Source organism: Homo sapiens, chromosome 1 (assembly GCF_000001405.40).
Source record: "Homo sapiens chromosome 1, GRCh38.p14 Primary Assembly".
In the NCBI taxonomy this organism is placed as follows: domain Eukaryota; kingdom Metazoa; phylum Chordata; class Mammalia; order Primates; family Hominidae; genus Homo; species Homo sapiens.
The window spans coordinates 160,710,122-160,732,276 of record NC_000001.11 but is presented as its reverse complement, the minus strand read 5'-3'; the positions used below and the strand labels follow the sequence as shown (position 1 = coordinate 160,732,276).

The following is a 22,155-nucleotide window of genomic DNA, read 5'->3' as shown; positions in this document are numbered from 1 at the left end:
CTTCTGCTTTTCTGGGGGTGGGGGGAGTTTGTGTCATCTCAAATTGAGAAACTGTTGTTGCTTATTTAAGCCACCCTTAACAGTACTGTAAACAACTAGTGTAGTTTTAAAAACAGCATTTCATGCAAATCAAAACCACAAGGAGATACTATCTCATGCCGGTTAGAATGGTGATCATTAAAAAGTCAGGAAACAACAGATGCTGGAGAGGATGTGGAGAAATAGGAATGCTTTTACACTGTTGGTGTGAGTGTAAGTTAGTGCAACCATTGTGGAAGACAGTGTGGCCATTCCTCAAGGAGCTAGAACCAGAAACACCATTTGACCCAACAATCCCATTACTGGGTATATACCCAAAGGATTATAAGTCATTCTACTATAAAGACACATGCACATGTTATGTTTATTGCAGCACTGTTCACAATAGCAAAGACTTGGAACCAACCCAAATGCCCATCAATGATAAGATTGGATAAACAAAACGTGGCACATACACACCATGGAATACTATGCAGCCATAAAAAAGGATGAGTTCATGTCCTCTGCAGGGACATAGATGAAGCTAGAAACCATCATTCTCAGCAAACTAACACAGGAACAGAAAACCAAACACCTCATGTTCTCACTCATAAGTGGGAGTTGAACAGTGAGAACACATGGTCACAGGAAGGGGAACATCACACAATGGGGCCTGTCGGGGGGTAGGGGGCTAGGGGAGGGATAACATTAGGAGAAATATCAAATGTAGGTGATGGGTTGATGGGTGCAGCAAACCATCATGGCATGTGTATACCTATGTAACAAACCTGCACGTTCTGCACATGCATCCTAGAACTTAAGAGTATAATAATTTTTAAAAAATAGCATTTCAATAATCACTTGTTTTTCAAAACGCCCATAATTAGAGTATGTTATATAGCAAGCATAGCAGTCACCTTCTTTTCATTTTTTAACTTTTAAGTTCAGGGATGCAAGTGCAGGTTTTTTACACAGGTAAACTTGTGTAATGGCTGCATAGTATTCCATGGGGTATGTGTACCACATTTTCTTTACCTATTGATGGGCATTTAGGTTGATTCCATGTCTTTGCTATTGTGAATAGTGTGCAGCCACCTTCTTATGAATGTGATTTTGCACTCAATTATCATCTAAAATTATTCTTTAGGCTAGATGCGTCATACCTGTAATCCCAGCACTTTGGAGAGGCTGAGGAGGGAGGATTGCTTGAGGCCAGGAGTTTAAGACCAGCCTGGGCAATGTAACAAGATCCTGTTTCTATAGAAAAATTTAAAAAAATAGCTCATGATGGTGGTGGACACTCGTATTCTTAGCCACTCAGAAGGGTGGGGCAGAAGGATCACTTAAGCCCAGGAGTTCGAGGCTGTCCTGAGCTATGATTGCACCACCATACTCCAGCCCTGGGTGACAGAGCCAGACTGTCTCAAAACAAACAAACAAAACCCAACAACTATCTCTGTAAAATAACTAAGTTTGACATTAAAACGTGAAATAGAGAACTTTAAATTTTAAGCTAAAAAAAGTACAGGAATATTTGAATACCTTACATATATACATATACATACATATATATATATATATATTTTTTTTTTTTTTTTTTTTTTGAGACAGTGTCTTGCTCTGTCACCCAGGCTGGAGTGCAGTGGCATGATCATGGCTCACGGCAGCCTTGACCTCCCAGGCTCAAGTGATCCTCCCACCTTAGCCTCGTGGATAGCTGGGACTACAGGTGTGTGCCACTATGCTGGGCTAATTTTCGTACTTTTTGTAGAGATGAGGGTTTCCCTGTGTTGGTCAGGCTGGTTTCAAACTCCTGGGCTCAAGCGATCTACCCACCTTGGCCTCCCAAAGCGCTGGGATTAAAGACGTGAGCGACCGTGCCTGGCCACTAATATATTTTAATCACTATTTAACCAAAGTTCGGACATCTTGAATAGAATACTTCTTCCAATTTTCTGTGAAATATTTATACTGATGTTAAAGCCTTCCTGAGAATGCATGTAACCGTCATAATTTAATACTTGAGACTCATGGACACCAGCCACAGACCTGATAAACTATTATTTTCCTCCTTGACTGGTGGATACAACTGCTGCAAGAACTAAGATATAAGGCATGGTGTTAGACCAGCACAAAAGGAAGATGATATGTTTACTGGATCATGTAAGGAATTTGCCTCCTGAAAATATAACAGCATAATCAGAATTATAAAAAGTTCTTCTCAAATAATGGAAACAGTGGAGGGTAACCAAGAGAACAGTGTAATAACTGAATGCAATTTAATCTCTTACAGTACATTGCCACCACCACAGAAAAGTAGTTTTAACTTACTTGTTATGAATCCCCACCTCTGATGATCGAGTGTGCCTGCAATTCTGTAAGATCCAAAAGGGGAGGAGGTGATGGTACCTCTTTGTGTACTCCCTCAACCTCCAGAAAGAATCTTCAAAGTTTAGTCAAATGTGAAATTAGTGGGTATTCCTCAAGAAATCTCTCACTTCTAACATTAATTTGCAAGTTCAGGGATGATACGGTTTGAATGTATGTCCCCTCCAAATGAAATGTGACCCTAGTGTTGGAGATGGGACCTAATGGAAGGTGTTTGGGTCATGGGGTTGGATCCCTCATGAATGGTTTGGTGTCCTCCCTGCAGCAATTAGTTCACACAAGAACTAGTTGTTTAAAGAGCTTGGAACCTCCTCCCCTCTCTCTCTTGCTCTTTCTCTTGCATGTAGCGTGCCTGTTCCTCCTTCACCTTCTACCATGATTGGAAGATTCCTGAGGCTCTCACCAGAAGCAGATGCATTTGACCCATTTATAATTTCTTCCACAGAACTTTATGTTATCTGGCTCTCCATGGTACCACTCCTATTGTCTTTCTCTACTGACTCTATTTACCATGTTCATTCTTATTACCTCATCAGCCTCGCCTTCACCGTTCATAGTTCTGTCAGCATTTTGGTCATAATCACTTAACAAGTCTCTAAGAAGTTCCAAACTTTCCCTCATCTTCTAGTCTTCTTCTGAGCCCTCCAAACTCTGCCCACCCCAGCCCATTACCAGGTTCCAAAGCCACTTTCACATTTCAGCAATTGCTTTACAGCAATGCCCAACTCCTCAGTTCTATTTTTTTTGTATTAGTTCAATTTGCATTGCTATAAAGGAATACCTGACACTGGTAGAGCCACTGGCCACTTATATCCTGAGCCTGTAAAAGCTGCAGGCACTCAACACCATTAACATCTTAATTCCTCAGATTCTTTAATTTCCTTTAAAATGCTCTAATTTTCTTTCTTTCTTTCTCTCTTTCTCTGTCTGTCTATCTATATCTATCTATCTATCTATCTATCTATCTATCTATCTATCTATCTATCTATCATCTATCTACCTATCTATCTGATGGAGTCCTGCTCTGTCTCCAGGCTGTAGTGCTGTGGCACGATCTCAGCTCACTGCAACCTTGGCCTCCCGGGTTCAAGCGATTCTCCTGCCTCAGCCTCCCGAGTAGCTGGGACTACAGGTGCGCACCAGCACCCCCAGCTAATTTTTGGATTTTTAGTAGAGACTGGGTTTCACCATGTTGGCCAGGATGGTCTTGATCTCTTGACCTCGTGATCCGCCCACCTTGGCCTCCCAAACTGCTGGGACTACAGGTGTGAGCCACTGCGCCTGGCCAAAATGCTCTAATTTTCTTTCTTCTTTTCTAGTAAATCTTTGTCAGTCTCATTTGCATATGCCTCATCCTTTGCCATCCCTTAAATGTTGGTATTACCAGGGGATTCCATCCCCAACCTCCTTTCACTTTACATATTCTTTCTGAGTAAGAATTTGTGTGCCATAATTATTTGCATGCTGGCACATAGCACAGGTCTCTCTCCTGAGCCCCAGATACATATATTCATCTGCCTCTTAGATATCTTAATCTTAATATATTCAAAACTGAACTTATCATCTCTCATGTCCCAACTTGTCCCTTATCCTATCCACTGATGCAACCACACAAGCCAGGAACCAGACTTTTCCTCTTCCCTCTTCCTTTACCCCCATATGCAACCAGGTATCAAGTTCTGCTCATTCTGACCCCTGCCCTTCACACCACCACCTCTGCTTCAGCCAAGTTGAGCAATAATGAAGGCCTTGGCTGGATCCCCCCAATAGCCTTAAAATGTCCCCCCTTGTTTGTGGTCTCATTCTCCTGTTTACCAGAATATTCTTTTTAAGTTGTGAACCACAGTATATCACTAATCTGCTCAAAACCCTTTAATTAGCTCCCTTCACGAGCCTTCAGGATAAAATCTAAACCCTTCATCATGTACACTAAAACATTAGTGATCTGGACCAGTCTGGAAACGGGACCTGCTTTCTGTATCCAGTCTTTATTTCAGCCACACTGAAATATCCTCATTTTCCTGAACTGGCCAAGTTCTTTGGGTAGCAAAGGTATAAAAATAAACCCTTTGGCCGGGCGCAGTGGCTCATGCCTGTAATCCCAGCACTTTGGGAGGCCGAGGCAGGAGAATCGCTTGAACCCAGGAGGTGGAGACTGCAGTAAGCCGATTGTGCCACTGCACTCCAGCCTGGCAACGGAGTGAGACTCCGTCTCAAAAAACAAACAAACAAACAAACAAACAAACAAACAAACAAAAAACCCTATTGTTATTTGATTTTTTTGTGTGTATAAAAAAAGATTTTACACATGTTCATTACAAAGACCTCCTCTGATCATACACAGTTTGCATTAGGCACCCTTTCTATGTGACACCACAGTTTCTCATTTTGCAGCTTCTCAATGTTTTGCTTCTCTGTTTTCTCCATGAGACTGTGAGTTGCTTAAGAGCAATATTATGACTTTCATTTCTACATCTCCAGATGCAGCTCAAGAAATATCCAACAGGGAGAAAGGAAGAGAAGTGGGGATGAGAAAAAAGGAGGAGAGAAATGGAGAATTTGGCTTCTGCCTCCACTAAAATGGCTCTCATCATGGCCAAGGTGGCTACTGACTACACAATTGCTAAATGAAATGGAAGCACTTTTTGTTAATCTGGATATAGTCTTGAAATTTTTGCTCTCAAATTTTGAGACCACCTTCTCCTTGCTATCTGACTGATCCTCCTTATTTTCCTCTTCAGGATCCCTTTTTTCTATTGTCTCTTAAATGTTAAATTTACCCTGGGAAATCGTCCTGAGTCCCTCGGGTCTTTTAGTCTCCCTGGGGAATGGCCTCCAAGCTGGAGCCTACTCAGGCAGTGTTGTACTGCCCCCTCCTGGTATAACTGAAAAGCAGGTTAGTCGCTCGCCACAGTTAACAAGAACGAGGCCTGGCACAAGAAAAGTGAATGTATTTCCAAAACAAGTCTGGGAGGAGGGCAGGAAGTATCCTCCTTTAAATGTGCCACTTTGCCTTTGGAGCAAAAAGTGAACACTTTTATAAGGTAAAGGAAGAAGTGAGCAAGGGCAGGGGGGTCTCCCTGCTACTGGGCAGTTAAATACTGAACAGTTGAGTTGGTGCCTTCCCGGGCAGAAGTAAGTTGTAAAAGTGACCAAATAGGCATGCTTTCCACATGCCTTTCTGAGGCAACCGCCCGAAGGGAGGAGTTCCATAAGGACATGCTTTGATCTGCAAATCAACAGATCTGTCTTGGAGCACATAGGTGAACTTGCCCTGTAGGGAGTGTCTGGTGAGAGGTTATTTTGCATTTCAGAAAGGGCTAAGTAGGGAGTAGAGGGAAAGGGAAAAAGAAAAAAGAAAAGGAAAAAAAAACACATAACAACAATTAAATTATCTCTTAGAATAATGGGGGCACTTGGTTACATTGGAACCAGTGATAAGCCAGCCAGGAATAGTAGTGGCCCTAGTCCTAGTGGGGTTGAAAATAGGTTTTATTATTCTATGCTGACTAAAACCTCAAATGACTCAGCAAAAACACTGGGCAGTAGACCTTCTGAACACTCACGACCGGAGGACTATAGTCCTCTGACTGGGCTCTTCAACCTCCATTTTCTTTTACCCTCTGGAACCTGGAGCTCAGAGGTGGCAGGTGTCATTTTTGCATCTTAGTTTTAGAGGTGGTGAATTCGTATGGGTTTGCAGCAACCTCAATTACTGTCTCTTCAGAAGAAAAAATTCAACCATGGGGCATAAGGCAGAGGGAGAGAGCAAGGCAAGCTTTAGAGTAGGAGTGAAAGCTTATTAAAAAGCTTTGGAGCTGGAATTAAAATCAAAATACATTTGGAAGCGGGTGGCTTGAGAGACCAAGTGCACTGTTTGACCTTTGACTTGGTGTTTTATATGTTAGCATGCTTCTGGGGTCTTGCATCCCTTCTCCCCTGATTCTTCCCTTGGGGTGGGCTGTCTGCACACGCAGTGGCCTGCTAGCCCTTCGGAGGGGCTGCGAGCACAGTGTGTTCACTGGAGTTGTATGCATGCTCACTTGAGGTGTTCTTCCCTTACCATTTGAGTGTTCCTAGAGGAAAGTGATATACCAGTTAAATGCTGCCATTTTGCCTTTTAGTACGCATGTGTGAGCCCACTCGCCCAACTCCTGAGATCTTAATGGGAAACTGCTGATCACCAGCTTTGGGTTTTGCTTTATCTGTTGGGAGACTGCCTTTCCCTCATGCTGGCTGTGACTATTATTTTAGAGAGACAGCTTAACAACTGTCTGACCATCACCTGATGGTTACCTGACATTCCTAGGGGGTATCCTCTCCTGCCCTGCTCATGTCTGCCTGACTACCTACTGTAACATTCCCCCCGTCAAGAGTCCAGTACCCCAAATTTTGGGGGAAAATGGACAAACACCAGTCTTCTGTAAACTGCTCCCTGCTCACAGAGGGCCGGTGGTTGTTGTTCTGTGAATCTTGGCCTCCTGCTAGCTGTTAGGGCAGGTGACTCTGTGGGTTCATGAAAGCAGTTTCCAGCCAAGTCCAACAGAGAAAGGGGCAGGATTTAACCTCTGTCATGTCCCACTAATGGGCAGTGTAAGGGTCCAGTGTAGAAGGATAACTCTTGAATGTTGAGAGGATGTATTCCTCACTGAGGATCATCTGGAGCTTGATGCCCTGGAGAGGAGACAAATCAGGTTATTAGATATAGAAGACATGGACCAAAAAGGACAAGTAGAGATGTCAAAATGAAACAAGGAGGTGAGGGCAGCTCCAAAAAATCTTGAGGCTGCTGACACATCCAGGTAGCTGGTGGTTACATTCATGCCTGCTAAGACTTGCATGCCTGGGGTTGCTAGCCAATTCCAACAAGTGCCCAGTGTAGGGGGCACACAACAACATATTCAAGCTTATGTACAAGGCATTTGAGGTTGAAAAAATAACTGAGGCACTGTGTGTGTGTTGTTTGTGCATGAGACTATAACTCCTTGACCCTGAAAACAGGACAAGGAGCAGAATGTGTGATAAGGGGCGCTGAACACAGCCTCCTAAGAAGGCGGTTTGAGTGCTTTTAGATGTAATAAACAAGGCCATATGTGCCTCATGTCACGACTGCAAAAAGCCACCTGGTGGATGTCTTTTGTTGGTCTGAATTGTAGTTTAACAAGCCTCTCAACAGACACTTGGTGGACAGATCTTGGAGCAGCACTCCCTCGAGGAGCTCCTCCCTGCCCCGTTCAGCTGTAATTGTCTCAATACTTATTTCTCGGCGTTCACTGCAGAGCAAGCTGCAAGTGGTGACTCCGATGTGATCGCCTTGAAATTACTCGTGGAGCAGGATGACATACCAATCTTCAGGGAATACCGATAAGGGACAGTCCTGACCCATTTTCTTTTCTTTTCTTTTTTCTTTTCTTTTTTTTTTTTTTTTTTTGAGATGGAGTTTCACTTTTGTTGCCCAGGCTGGAATGCAATGGCGTGATCTCGGCTCACCGCAACCTCTGCCTCCCAGGTTCAAGCAACTTTTCCTGCCTCAGCCCCCTGAGTAGCTGGGATAACAGGCATGCGCCACCACGCCTGGCTAATTTTTTTTGTATTTTTAGTAGAGACGGGGTTTCTCCATATTGGTCAGGCTGGTCTCGGACTCCTGATCTCAGGTGATCTGCCCGCCTCAGCCTCCCAAAGCGCCGGGATTACAGACATGAGCCACTGCGCCTGGCCAGTCCTGACCCGTTTTCAGGAGGACAGGACCTATGTGTATAATACCAGGGCTCGGGTTACCACGGGTGAGAAGTTGACCAAATAGCAGAAAGTATTTTTTAAAATGGTGAGACAATTGCTTAAGGCTATCCAGTGCACCAGAGAGTCTGAAGCTTTGCATACGCTTACGCTTTTAGTTCGGCAGGAATGCCCTTGGTTCCCTAATCAAGGAATATTAGACTTAAAGTCATGGGAGCAGGTGGGTGGTTGCCTGAAAAGGGGATTTGAGCAGGGCCATTTTACTAATGTTACCATTTTGACCACCTGGAGTATGATCTGCGTTATACCCCCTTTATATGTCAGATCGTGGTAAGTCAGACCGCCCATTTTCTCCACCTGAAGGGAATTCAGAAATTTTAAAGAGAAAAGAAAAACAGGAACAAGAACAACAGGGAGGAGCTCCTCCCCCCACTTCACTCCCTTCTGTGGGGCATAAAGAAAAAACTTTTTCTAGTGATGAGGATGGACTGGAGCTTTTTTCTCCCCAGTAAAAAAGCCATTGCCCTTACCTGTCTCATAACCCCTCTAAACACATACAAAAGACCACAGATTTAATAGCTTCTCTTCTTGTAAAGGAATGCTGACGTTGCATCCAATTGTCAGAATATGACCCTGCTACTCTTTTCCTACCTTTAAGCAAGTAATAGTTTCATACTCTCCTAGCTTGTGATCTTGATTAGCAAGTAGCAATGGCCGACTGTATTGGTGACATCAGCTTCCATTTATCAGCCTCTAAGCTCCTGAAGGTTTTACAAATGTGCCTGTTAAATTTGTATCTATTGTTGTCTCTAAGCCCTTGCTTCATGCCACTATTGTCTTTACAGATGGCTCAGGAAAAACTAGAAAGGCACCTATAGTGTGGCAAGATGCCATGCAAAACTGGTAGCACAAAATCCAAGAACATTTCAAAACCACACAACGGGCGGAATAAAGTGCCCTAATATTGGCCTTACAAACTTTTCCTCATCAAGACATAAATATAGTTAGTGATTCCGCTTATGCAGTGGATCATATTACTCATTTAGATCTTGCATATGTGAAGAGCATTACTAATGAACCCCTACTAGCTTTATTTCTCGAAGCACAAGAGTTCTTCTATGCCTGTTGTCACCCTCTTTACATCACACACAATCCCTCTCATTGTAGGCTACCTCGTCCCTTGTCAGAAGGAAACGCTTGAGCCGATGCTCTGGTACAACCACAAATGTGGTTTGCAGACTCTGCTGCCTTTTTGCGAGCTCAAGCTAATCATTCCTTTTTTCACCAGAATGCCCACAGTCTTAAACAACAGTTTCATTTGATGCTCGCTCAAGCTCGCATGATCATTAAAACCTACCCTGATTGCGAATGACATTCTCTATCCGCTTTTTCCTTAGGACTTGGTGCCAACCTACAAGGTCTAGTACCTAATGCTATTTGGCAAACTAATGTTACTCAATATCCACCCTTTAGATGCTTCAAATTTCTCCACGTTACTGTAAACAGTTATATGGGCTTAATACATGGTATCCCCCAGACCTGAAAAAAAAACTAAAGATGCGATTGCTCATCTTTTTGAATCCATTATGACTTTAGACCTTCCACAAACTATAAAAACTGATAATGGACCTTGCGTTTTAGTGCTCAATTTGCATATGCATTGCAACTTTGGCACATACAACACAAAACCCAGATTTAAAATATGAATCCAGGTTATTACATGACTCAACCTTCTTGTTTCTTCTGACCTGCAGCCAGAGATTACTGGTTGGTTCAAAGGGATAAGCAGAGTTAACTTAAAAACAACTGATGAGACTAGAATCTAATAACAGGTGTACCATCATTTTTGAAACATAATTTTTCTCTCTCTAGTCCTGATCTTTATTAAAAACAAATTACAATAGGGCAGATTTGTTTGTAAAATAAGCTTTAGTATTATTATACTTGGCTTGTTACTTGCATAAAGCACAGCAAGAGTAATTATTTGCCATATAGGTTCCTATTAAAATTGTCTTTGATAGAACTTTGTTTCATAAGGAATTTCAGATAAGATGTTTTTAAAGCCTGGAGCCCAATTATGGGTTTGTGCCATCAAATATCTATATTAATTGAGTAAATTTCTCTCCTTTTGAGGTCCCAAGATAACTTGGGTCTCCTGGGCCTGTCAGAAAGTGACATTCTTTACTTACTACAGGACTGGAACCCTGTACAGGGACTGTGTAGATAAGGTATGAGGCCAATTTTCCCAAAGAGCTTTTATTGGCTTTATAAGTCAAATTTGATTCTTTAAAGGAAAGCACACCATTCCAGTCAAAGCCTTGGTAAAATATCCAGTTTCTCCAATTGTGTTTTGTTGCAAAAGAAAACAGATTCTTACTGTACTTATGCAAATAACTATATTGCCATAAGTTAAGAATACTCACAAGTAGTTTCCAAATCCTGGAGAAATCCAGTAGAGAGAAATATGCTCTAAACTTTGTTTATAGGAGTGTACTTTACTCAATTGTTAAGAGCTATAAATAGATGGATTATTTCAGTGTTGTATTACTTCAGTCCATGCAGTTAACTTCTGTTCTGCCTGATACTCATAAGCATTTCAGGTATCCATGAGAGTCCTAAAAGTTTTTCCTTTATTCTACTGTCACAGTCTCCAAAGTTATTAAGAATCTGCATTCAAGAGCACCTGTCAGAGTTCTATAGATGATTATAAAACCACCTTCTAAGGGGATAAAAACAAGACAACAATTGTCTATATAAATAATAAGAAGTCTTAGGGCAGCCACAGTCAAAGACACAATTGACCAAGAAATTTGTTACCTCTGTGGCACCCAATAATTTAATGATTATAATTATTACTAATAATATACACTGTTATATCAGAATTATAGGAGTTTCACATAATTTTGGAATATGTACCAATAACACATTTATAAAGAGCAGTTTAATGCTTTAATAGAACTCTGTTGTGCTTTTATTCCAAAGTTCAATTTACAGAAAATCTAAATAATATCCCTTTAATTTTTAATCTGAAAAGAGGATTTGAGCAGGGCCATTTTACTAATGTTACCATTTTGACCACATCGAGTCTAGTATGCTCTGCGTTATACCCCCTTTATGTGCCAGATCACAGTAAGTCAGACTGCCCATTTTCTCCACCTGAAGGGAATTCAGGAATTTTAAAGAGAAAAGAAAACAGGAACCAGAACAACAGGAAGTGGCTCCTCCCCCCACTTCACTCCCTTCTGTGGGGCATAAGGAAAAAACTTTTTCTAGTGATGAAATTTAATTTTAGCTAATATGCTCACACACAGAAATTCTTTTACAAGATTAATCTTTCATAAGCCTTCTACCACTTGCTTAAAGCTTCAGCTTTATCTTAGCTAACTTAAAACTGTCCTTTAACCTTCTAAACTAGGCAAAAAAAATCCATATTCCCATGTCTTCTTATGATCTTTTACCAAAAGCACATTCTACTTTCCTTAAATGTCTTGCATGTAAAATTGTTTTTCCAGTAGTCTCAAGCCTGGAACACCAGAGAGGAATGCAGATAAGGTCTGACTCGTTCCCACATGGTTAGGGGGCATGGCTAACTCTATATGTCCCCAAGCCTTAACTAGCTTTAAAGCAGGCCAGTTGCACTGTTAAGAGTCATAGTAGCAGTGTATGAAATGCTTAGTAGGCCTCATAAACTTTAAAACTGTAGAACATTTCTTTCATACATTCCCTTCCACAACTTACACAGACCATCTATGCTTTGACTTTTGGACTTGTCCTAAATGTCCTTCTTTTTAGACAACCAGTTATTTTACTTTAAGACAAGAATTTACCATACAAGACCCTTGTCATACAAAATATATTTTCTTTTAACGTTCCTTACCCAAAATACCCCTTTACCTTTATAACCTTTGAATTAGACAAAAGTCATTTTCCTTCTGTTAGGAAGTTAAGGTTTGTACTGCATGTTGCTGAGTAAGTCCTGTGAAGGGGAAGCAAATTAGAAAGTTATCTGCATACTGTAGAAGATATCCCCCCTCAAAAGATTGTTCATTTAGATTTTTCTAGGGTTTATCTGAATAAGTGTGGGCTATTTCTAAGCCCCTGAGTTAGAACTGTCTAGATTGAAGTTATTGGTTAAAGATTTAGGTAGCTTCCCCAAGAGAAATAGGGATAGAGAGAAAGATGAATTCAGAGGTTGGGTAAATATTTAATAGGCACCCATCTTGAAAAGCATATTTTTGCCCCAAAGAGGTGTGGGGTATTTAGACATTACCAGGGACTGGTGGGAGAATGGCAGTTAGCCCCTTAAGTAATATAAAGGAGTGTGAATCTTTTCTTTTGGAGGGACGGGGTGCCATTTGTCCCCTTTACCTGACAGAATTTGGAGGAGAGTTGCTCAGAGAAAAAGATTAGCACAGAGTAGGCAGTTGTTGAATGCGAAAGGGAATTATAATTGTACTTGACACCTCCAGAGTTTCCCTTGATTTTGCCCTATTGATGGTAGTGTCTAATTTAGAAGCCAGGCAGAGTAGAGAGAGCTCAAGGTCGTCAGGGGTTGGGATTCTGTCCCAGGGGCCCTTTAGCCTTAAAGACAATCCTTTTTCCAGTGGCTGAGCTTGTGGTAGAGGGGACAAGCTGTGCAGGTATTTTTCCGATTTATCCCATTGGGGCAGTTTACCTTCCAGCGGCCTGTCTTCTTGCACAAATGGCAGTTACCTGGAGGGGGCTGGAGAGCTTGTAAAGCAGCCAGTAGTTGAGCCTGCCTCTTGTCCCTGCATTTCTTCTTTTCTTTGGTTCTGTCCTCCTTATTCTGCTCTCAGTTATAAAAGACTTAGGAGGCTAATTTGAAGATTTCCTGCATAAGGGGACTGGGATCTAAGGGTGACTTTTGTAATTTTCTCTGTTTATTTTTAGGCCAGACAGTATTACAAAGGAAAACTAGTTTTTTGTTTTAAGGGTTGAGGAAATCAAACTTTTCTCAGTTTTGGGGGATGCATCCAAAGGTCATATCCTGTGGTATGGAGACGTGATTATCTGTCTGTGAAAAGAGAACAGAACAGAATAAAAGGAAAAAGAAAAAGAAGATGTCCCCTCTTACTTCCTTTTATCCAGAATAAGGTGTTCCCCTAGTCATCCTTAGGGTTCTGGAATGAACCAGTCTTCCCATGTACCCTTAACCTTGGTCCCGTCTCATCACAATTACCCACTTGAGAACAGAGGAGATACTGGAGTGAAGAGGGGGCCTCCTGTTCATTCTTGGGGCTCCAGAATAAACTGGTCTTACCATGTGCCCCTAACCTTGCCTTTATCTCTGTTCTAATGGTAATCTGTTAGCCTGGGACCAACCTTCATCTCTGTCCTATGACTCTCTTACCCCTGTGGCCTTGGGCCAGCCTATATCCTTGTCTCCATGACCTTATAGTGACTCTTGCTTGGAGCATTCTAGCAACAAAATGATTCTCTCTTTTCTCAGATTCCCATTTCCCACATTTTTTAAGTAGATAAGAAGACTTTTTTTGTTTTGTTTTGTTTTGTTGTTTGTTTGTTTGTTTGAGACACAGTCTTGCTCTGTCATCCAGGCTGGAGTGCCTGGCATGATCTCGGCTCACTGCAACCTCCACCTCCCGGGTTCAAGCAATTCTCCTGCCTCAGCCTCCCAGAAGCCTGTTTTTCAGCTAGTCAGCAAGTAGCTGGACTTCCCTTTGTTTGAATAGGAACTTGAAAGCTTTGATGAATGTTGTGAAGGGTGTGGAAGTGATTAGAGAAATGGAGGCTACCGAGGAAGAGGGAGGAAGTGAGGGAGATACTCACGGAAAGGCTTCATGTTCCCACAAAAACAGCAGCCTTTGGATTTGAGAGGACAACCTTTATTTGCCCTCTTAACATAAAGTAGTAACCTCTGGAGGACTTGAGGCTTGGAGTAAAAACTCACAAATGGCAAAGGAAGAATTTTCCCTCCTCCCAAAGGGGTGCTAACTCAAAAAAATCACATAGGCAGGGTTCTTAAAGGACCACAGAATGAGGTCCTACGCAGGTGGACAAACTGCTTCAGAAGGCACCAGAAAATTTGGCCCTGGGACATAATGGGGATAAAAAGCATATGATAAGTCATAAGGAATTGGCAGAGCTGAGGTTCCCATTAGTATCTGTCCTGGCAATGTGCTAGCAGACAGGGAAAGGGTTGGAGGTCATCTGAGCTGGTAGGGTAAGAACAAATGTAAATCTCAAGGGATATCCAGAAGGGAGCCCATGTCTTTGCTGCTACACAAACACAGCAAGAGCCATGGGCCACAGCAAGAGCCACGGGCACAAGAGCAACTGGGAGTGTGTGCCTAAGAAGTTACATGGCATGAAAAATGAAAACAGAGAAAAGGCAAATTGCCCCCGAGGTGGACGGTTCAGTGGGTGCGCAAGGCCATTTCAGAATACATCCAGAGAAAGCAGGAGAATAGGCATCGCAGGTTTTGGGGAAAGAGCCAATTTTAGTTGAAAAAGCAGAGGAAACCCCAGAAATTGCACAGTCTCAGGCTTTAGCCCTATCACTCTTGCAAGCCTCCTGTCCAGGACGGCAGAGAGGAATTGTTTTAGGGGTTGGTTAGTAAGCAGGAGAGCAAAAGGGAGAAGAAAACCACATATGTGGGTTGAATGACTCCAGCCAAAGAAGGCGAGGTGTAGAGATCTCTAACAACCAGAGAACAAATCTGAGTCATGGAACCAAAGTACGTTAGTGTCCCTTCTCCCTGATTCTTTCCTTGGGGTGGGCTGTCTGCATGCGCAGTGGCCTGCTAGTACTTGGGAGGGGCCACACATTCAGTGTGTTCACTGGAGTTGTATGCATGCTCACCTGAGGCGTTCTTCTTCTCTTCTTTCTTTTTTCTTTGAGACAGAGTCTCTCTCTGTTGCCCAGGCTGGAGTGCAGTGGCATGATCTTGGCTCACTGCAACCTCTGCCTCCTGGGTTCAAGTGATTCTGATGCTTCAGCCTCTTGAATAGCTGGGATTACAAGTGCTCACCATCACGTCTGGCTAGTTTTTGTATTTTTAGCAGAGACGGGGTTTCACCATGTTGGTCAGGCTAGTCTGAAACTCCTGTTCTTAAGCAATCCATCTGCCTTGGCCTCCCGAAGTGTTGGGATTGTAGGCATGAGCCACCATGCCCTGGTGCTGGCTGCGACCAATTATTATTTTAGAGAGGCACATTAACAATTGTCTGACCATCACCTGATGGTCGCCTGTCATTGCTGGTGGTGTGGGAGGCTCTCTCCTGCCCTGCTCACGTCTGCCTGACTACCTACTGTAACATTAGCCACCTGTTCTCATCAATTCTATCTTCTGGGAGATCGACCCTGTTCCTATCTTTGCTCTCATTGTTTCTGGGGAAAATTTATTGGAATGACTTCACTTTCTCTCACTCTCCAGGCACTAGCAAAGCTGTGCCTGTTGTGGCATTCAAGGCCCTGCTTAACCTACCAGGGGTCTGTCTTCCATCCTCAGCTCAATACCATACCCCTCCTTGAACATTTTTGGGCTACTCAAGGCCCTATATTCTCTGAGTTCCTAATTTCACATTGGCATGACTCTCATAGTGTTTCCTATGTGTTCTCCATTTCTTGTAGGCATATTGCAGATCCCCTGATGCCCAGAACCTTGATAACCCCAGAGTCTGTGTGCATAGTAGTTAGGCATGCCAGCTGGAGCATCAGACAGACGTAGATTTGAATTTTGATTCTGGTTCTAATTAGCAAAATGCCCTTGGGCAAGCCATTTGACTTGTCTGAACCTCAGTTATCTCTTCCGTAAAATAAGAATAGTGTTTATAAATATCCTCATGTGAATGTTGGAGGATTATTATTTTGTTGTTTTGTTGTTGTTTTTGTTTTTGAAACCTGATCCTTCTGTAAAATGTTGGAGGATTAAATGAGATAATATAGGCAAAGGTCCTGGCAAGTACTTGACTTAGTAGATACACAGAAAATAATAGCTTCTGTCATTACTATCACTTTGTCAAAGTCAAGCAGTAGGTCAAGTGCCCACCAGATTAGATACTGAGAAGAGTGTGTATTTTAATTCACATCATGAGGATTGTTGACCTGTACTTCATCTTCTAGGGTCTTTGCAGCCCCACCTCTGGGTATGCCCAAACTTCAGGGATTTCTGCAACCAGGGCTTTGGTGCAAGAACAGCTGATTCACTTAGGGCAGGGAGAGGGCTTTTGAGCCTTTATTGGTCACTTCTCTCAGACTTGTTTTTGAATCTATGCAGAAGCCTAACTAGCTAGTCCTGAACCTCAGAATGGGCACCCATAGTACTTCAGTGCCCGCTGTTACCATGCAAAAGGAGGAAGATTCCTTGGCTTAAGTTTATATTTCATCCTTTGTTTTAACATCAGCCTATATCCCATGGCTATTAATTCACATCTAAGCAGACTGTTGAGAATTATAGAGCTGTTTACTTGTCAATCTAAAAGAAAGAGGCTGAAACACAAAATATGATTTGAAGACTTTACTTGAGCCAAAGGGAGGACAGCTGCCTGGAAGACTCAGACCCAAGTAAAATTGGTTTTGAGCTCTGCTCAGCCTTTGTTACAAGCAGGTTTTTAAAGGCAAAAAAAGTGATACAAAGTTTTTTTTTTGGAATTCTCATTGGTTTGCAGAAATAACATTAATTAGTGATTGGTTACATATTGTTAAGCTGTAAGGTGTGGGTTATATGTCCAGTGCAGCATTATTAGATTAATTTATGGTTACTTGCAGCAATAGCAAGTAGTTTTAAGAGGTGAATACATAGCCCAAAGGTGGAGTAGGGGGAAGTAAAATGTGATTTCTGTCTCATTTAAATGTCTCTCTGATAATTTGAAGGACTCACATTCTTCAGATAAAAGTTCTTTCCTTTCTTCAACTTTTCACAACAACATTCAAAGGAGGTATTTTAACATTTATTTTTATTTTTACTTTTAGTAGAGATGGGGTTTTGCCATGTTGCCCAGGCTGCTCTCAAACTCCTGAGCTCAGGCAATCTGCCCTCCTCGGCCTCCCAAAGTGATAGCGACAGGAGACAGACAAATTCCTGGACAGATAGAAAAGGGTCCCTGGTGAAACTAGACTTTCAAGACAAAGACAGTTTAAAGCCTGAAAACTGGGCTGCCAGTTCTGGGTAGAGTCCACAACCAGAGTGAGAACTTCCTTGATACCTTTTAGCTAATCGAATGGTGCTTTTTCCAGGCCTGCCTATGGACAAATCTGAGCCGATGAAAACCCCAGACTCAGCCTCACAGAGGGCTACCTGTTTTGGGGCCCCTCTCACACAGTGGTCTACCCACTGTCTGGTCCCCTCTTTGCTGAGAGCTTTCCTTCTGTCACTCAATAAAATTATTCTCTGACCTACTCACTCTCCTTTGTCTGCATGCTTTATTCCTCTTGGTTGCAGGACAAGAACCCAGGACCTGCTGAGCTGCAGGTGGCAGGAACAAGCTGTAACATACCCGTATTTGCTGAGCTGTGGGCACTGGGACCAAGTGAGAGCTGTGACACACCCCCATTCACTGAACTGCAGGCAGCAAGACTAAATAAGAGCTGTGACATGCCCCCATTTGCTGAGCTGCAGGCAGTGGGACTGAACAAGAGCTGTGAGGTGCCCTCATTTGCTGAGCTGCAGGTGGCAGGAACAAGCTGTAACATACCCGTATTTGCTGAGCTGTGGGCACTGGGACCAAGTGAGAGCTGTGACACACCCCCATTCACTGAACTGCAGGCAGCAAGACTAAATAAGAGCTGTGACATGCCCCCATTTGCTGAGCTGCAGGCAGTGGGACTGAACAAGAGCTGTGAGGTGCCCTCATTTGCTGAGCTGCAGGTGGCAGGAACGAGAGAGAGAGCTGTAACATTTCTTGGGGTCTCAGGCCTTGGGATTCCCCAAGCAAAGCTGTAACACCCCTTAGGGCTCCGCAGTTGCTGGCATCTCCGAGTTTCTTAGTGCCACTGTGTTCCCTTCATTTAGACACTGGTGCCCAAGGTGGAAGCAGGTCACAGCACTCCCCGTCCTGCCACTGACTGAGTGTGGATCCTATGGCTCAGGAGTTCAAGACTGGCCTGGGCAACATGGTGAGACCTCATCTCTACAAAAAATTTTAAAAAAATAGCCATGCATAGTGGTCACTGTACTCCAGACTGGGTGACAGAGTGGGAGCCTGTGCCCCCCTCCCCCCAAAAAAGAGAATGTAACATTAATTTACAGGGTCTCTTTTAAAAATCTAATACAATGTTATCTTTTCTTGCTGAAGGAGCAGGGTCGTATCCTAAGGTTAAATCAATTTATAGGAAAAATATAACACACAGTTCCAAAGTGTAACAATTTGACCAAGAGGAATTTGATTCTGGTGCTGTTTCAAATTTTATTTGCAGGGTTCTTTCTTTTCACTTTTATGTTTTTTTCCCTTTTATTTTTAGTTGACATATAATAATTATACATATTTATGGGATACAGAGTAATATTTTGATACATGTATTCAATGTGTGATGATCAAATCAAAGCAATTAGGATACCTATCACCTCAAACATTGATCATTTCTTTGTGTTGGGAACATTCCAAATCCTCTCTTCTAGCTTTTTGAACATATACATTAAATTATTCTTAACTGTATTCACTCCATAGTGCTACAGGATGCTGGAACTTATTCCTCTTCTCTAGCTGTAACTTTGTATCTATTAACCAACTTCTTCCCATCCTCCACTTCCCTCTACCCTTCCCAGCCTCTGATAACCACAATTTTACTCTCTACTTCTATGAGCTCATTTTTTAAGCTTCCATATATGATTGGGAACGTGGTTTTTTATCTTTCTGTGCATGACTTATTTCACTTAACATAATGTCCTTCAGGTTTGAGGACTGAGAAGAGCAGACATTTTATTGTTCATCTCCATGTTGAGAATCAGAAATGTCCCCAATTAAAAAGTGATTACAAATATGTTATATCAGGAACTGTGGCTTGCCTGTGGGTCCTGGGTGGGCAAATAACTAATTTACATTCAATAGGAATGAGCTTGAAATTTCCTAGACATGATATGATTTGGCTGTGTTCCCTTCCAAATCTCATCTTGAATTGTAGTTCCCATAATCCCCACATATCATGGGAGCAACCCAGTAGGAAGTAAGTTAATCATACGAGCAGTTACCATCATGCTGTTCTCGTGATAGTGAGTTCTCACTAGATCTGATGGTTTCATAAGGAAGGGGCTTTCCCCATTGCTGCTCAGTGCTTCTCTTTCCTGCCACCGTGTGAAGAAGGACGTATTGGCTTCCCCTTGCACCATGATTGTAGGTTTCCTGAGGCTTCCCAAGCCATGCTGAACTAGAAGTCAATTTAACCACTTTCCTGGCCAGGCACAGGCCCATGCCTATAATCCCAGCACTTTGGGAGGCTGAGGCAGGTGGATCACTTGAGGTCAGGAGTTCAAGACCAGCCGGGCCAACATGGTGAAACCCTACTAAAAATACAAAAATTAGCTGGGCATGGTGGTGCTTGCCTGTAATCCCAGCTATGTAGGAGGCTGAGGCAGGAGAGTTGCTTGAACCTGTCAGGTGGAGGTTGCAGTGAGCTGAGATTGCACTGCTGCACTCCAGTCTGGGCTACAGAGTGAGACTGCATCTCAAAAAAAAAAAAAACCAAAACAAACAAAACAAAACAAAACCCCTCTCTTTCCTTTATAAATTACCCAGTCTGGGGTATGTCTTTATTAGCAGTGTGAGAACAGACTAATACAGACTACAAGGGTGGGAAATCCATTCTTTTGGGCCAAGTAATCTTACTTTTTTTCTGATGTTCAGTGGATAGGCTGATGTCAAACTTCAAATAGTGAATTATCATAAAGGAAGAAGAGCAGAGGGTGGTGCTGGGGGTAAGATATGCAGCACAAAGGCTACGTGGGTCTGATTTCCCAGACTTCAGGCTCTGAATGACACCTACCCAGGCTTGACTGGGAAGCTCCTATGTCTTAGCCCCTGAATTAATCAGAGGGATTCCTGCCTGGGAACGAAAAGCAGACATTCTCTATCAGGGTCCCTTATTCTTTTCTGAGTACTGGCCCCCCTGAGAGTACAGTAGAAGCTATGAATCTTCCCCCTACAAAAAAGCACTCATGTACCTTCAAACAAAATTGTTCTCAGTTTCCGTGATGCTCTTAGATAAAAAAATTTACAAGACCTCCGGTTTCTGGTTTCTGGGGCCCCACACAAGTGTGCTGGGTGGAGAGAAAATCTCAGTGGTTTTTTTTTTTTTCTCTCTAACCCTGTTTGGTAAGTTCCGTTTTTAGCCCCGGCCTTTTTCTAGCCAGGCTCTCAACTGTCTCCTGCGTTGCTGGGAAGTTCTGGAAGGAAGCATGTGCTCCAGAGGTTGGGATTCGTGTCTGGCTCTGGAATTGCTACTGCTGCCTCTGTCACTCCTGGTGACCAGCATTCAAGGTACTTTCCACCAACTGTGTATCTGTGATTGTGCACTGAAGGCATGGTCAGTTGGGAAAGGGGAGACGGGATGTAGTTCAACCCTAGAAGCCAGATCTGGTGTCTGGAAAGCAGGTATTTCCATTCCAATAGCATGGCCATGGCATGGTTGGGGAGCCTTTCTTAGCACTGATGAATGGAGCTTCATCTCCTTTCCCACGGGGATGTGATCAAAACAGGAACCTGGGGAGCAAGAGAAGTAGGCTCCTCATATTTTGTCCCGTGGTTGGTGGTCCATGAAGTTGTGGAAAAGTGTTTGTTTTTTCATTTTGAATAAGAAGAAGCTCTACACTGACAGCTGCTGCATTTTATGCTCAGACACACTGTACTCCCTTAGGCATTCTTTGAGACCTCTGTATATGTGAGGTGTTGCATCCTGAGCCAAGGTAAATGATATTGTCATTGACCCAAAGAAAAGATAGATCAAAATTATAGGAAGAAAAGCTTGGAAAGGATTGCTGTCTGGGGTCTCTGAATGAGGGTCTGAGAAGAGGCTGGAAGTGCTTCAGCATCAAAGGAACCTTAACACATCTGATTGCTAAGAGTTAAGGTCCATTCCTCTGCCACAGCCTGTTCGGTCCCCGGTGTGTGACCAAGGGCTGAGCTAACTTTCCTTCTCCTGTTAGAGCTGCCTCACCCTCTTTCTTCATCCAGTACCTCTCTTCTTATGCCAGCTGAGAAACAGCAGTGAAACCTTTGACTTTCTTGCTATTCCCCCAAGTAAATACTCAAGTCTTTTTAATTTAAAGGGCTTTAATGCTCACCACTCTGAGTAAAACAGTAAAAATCAACAAACATGTGGTAGTCACACTGTGGCATAAAATGATGATAGTTTGTAACTTTTGGGGAGATGAGGTAGAATGTGTGGAGGATCGGTCTCTCACATATTCTACCTCTCAGGTAGAGTCCTTTGGTTCATGACTGTGTGAGTCTACGGCTATATAGGTTCTGTGGGCCTGACTCAATGCATAGGACATTGGTATGACCTTGGGATTGGGGGCTGATGTGAAGTATTCATCTAACTATTGGGAAAAGCAGGGTTGCCAATGAGAATTGGAATATTTTAGGACTTTCTCTAGGCATACTGAAAACATCCTGACAGTTGACCTTTCTCTGACTTCTTTTCTAGGCTTCATCTTGGTCATTTATTCTTCTTTGAAACAATCAGACCACACCTGATTATGTTATCCTTTGAATGGATAATATTGGTTTTGATGAGGTTAGTAAACCTGGGTTATAACACCCGGGCTATAACCTGGGTTAGTAAAATACAAATTAAGCACTTACTGTGTGTCAGACATTGTGCTAGGCCTTTTGCATACTTTTTCATTTAACTTTCATTAGAAAATAGTGAGGTGGCTATTATTATCTACATTTTTCAGATGAGAATACTGTCTTGCAGAGAGATTAAGAAATTCTCCTAAGGGCACACAGGTCTAACTTCCAAACCATTCTATTATGATTATACCTTTCCTAGACTAAGGCGAGGGAATCTTGGTGAAGGTCAATGTGTCTAAATCT

General features: G+C 42.7%; 1 protein-coding gene across 5 annotated transcripts in view, besides 7 other annotated features; it reads left to right on the top strand.

The window, feature by feature from the left end:
• Window positions 4,765-5,508: an enhancer, noted in NCBI's record as "NANOG-H3K27ac hESC enhancer chr1:160696559-160697302 (GRCh37/hg19 assembly coordinates)". NCBI's record gives its function as "activates a minimal SCP1, AML or CMV promoter by ChIP-STARR-seq in naive H9 embryonic stem cells {active_cell/tissue: H9 hESC(naive)}" and the evidence as "EXISTENCE:reporter gene assay evidence [ECO:0000049][PMID:30033119]".
• Window positions 4,984-5,033: an enhancer, noted in NCBI's record as "active region_1950". NCBI's record gives its function as "activates an Ori minimal core promoter by ATAC-STARR-seq in GM12878 lymphoblastoid cells {active_cell/tissue: GM12878}" and the evidence as "EXISTENCE:reporter gene assay evidence [ECO:0000049][PMID:35858748]".
• Window positions 5,074-5,173: an enhancer, noted in NCBI's record as "active region_1949". NCBI's record gives its function as "activates an Ori minimal core promoter by ATAC-STARR-seq in GM12878 lymphoblastoid cells {active_cell/tissue: GM12878}" and the evidence as "EXISTENCE:reporter gene assay evidence [ECO:0000049][PMID:35858748]".
• Window positions 5,509-6,251: an enhancer, noted in NCBI's record as "NANOG-H3K27ac hESC enhancer chr1:160695816-160696558 (GRCh37/hg19 assembly coordinates)". NCBI's record gives its function as "activates a minimal SCP1, AML or CMV promoter by ChIP-STARR-seq in naive H9 embryonic stem cells {active_cell/tissue: H9 hESC(naive)}" and the evidence as "EXISTENCE:reporter gene assay evidence [ECO:0000049][PMID:30033119]".
• Window positions 5,884-6,033: an enhancer, noted in NCBI's record as "active region_1948". NCBI's record gives its function as "activates an Ori minimal core promoter by ATAC-STARR-seq in GM12878 lymphoblastoid cells {active_cell/tissue: GM12878}" and the evidence as "EXISTENCE:reporter gene assay evidence [ECO:0000049][PMID:35858748]".
• Window positions 19,427-19,486: an enhancer, noted in NCBI's record as "active region_1947". NCBI's record gives its function as "activates an Ori minimal core promoter by ATAC-STARR-seq in GM12878 lymphoblastoid cells {active_cell/tissue: GM12878}" and the evidence as "EXISTENCE:reporter gene assay evidence [ECO:0000049][PMID:35858748]".
• Window positions 20,027-20,206: an enhancer, noted in NCBI's record as "active region_1946". NCBI's record gives its function as "activates an Ori minimal core promoter by ATAC-STARR-seq in GM12878 lymphoblastoid cells {active_cell/tissue: GM12878}" and the evidence as "EXISTENCE:reporter gene assay evidence [ECO:0000049][PMID:35858748]".
• The window catches only part of CD48 (CD48 molecule), a 33,077-nt gene continuing 31,376 nt past the window's right edge, over window positions 20,455-22,155 (top strand). For 4 of the 5 annotated variants that reach the window (XM_017002867.3, XM_005245625.1, NM_001778.4 and 1 more), the window contains exon 1: window positions 20,455-20,595. In XM_017002867.3, the coding sequence (XP_016858356.1) occupies window positions 20,514-20,595 (82 nt within the window). In that variant the 5' untranslated portion in view covers window positions 20,455-20,513. Of the gene's footprint in view, window positions 20,596-21,788; window positions 21,854-22,155 lie in introns of those variants that run through there. The other variant, XM_047435011.1, reaches the window with a different exon arrangement.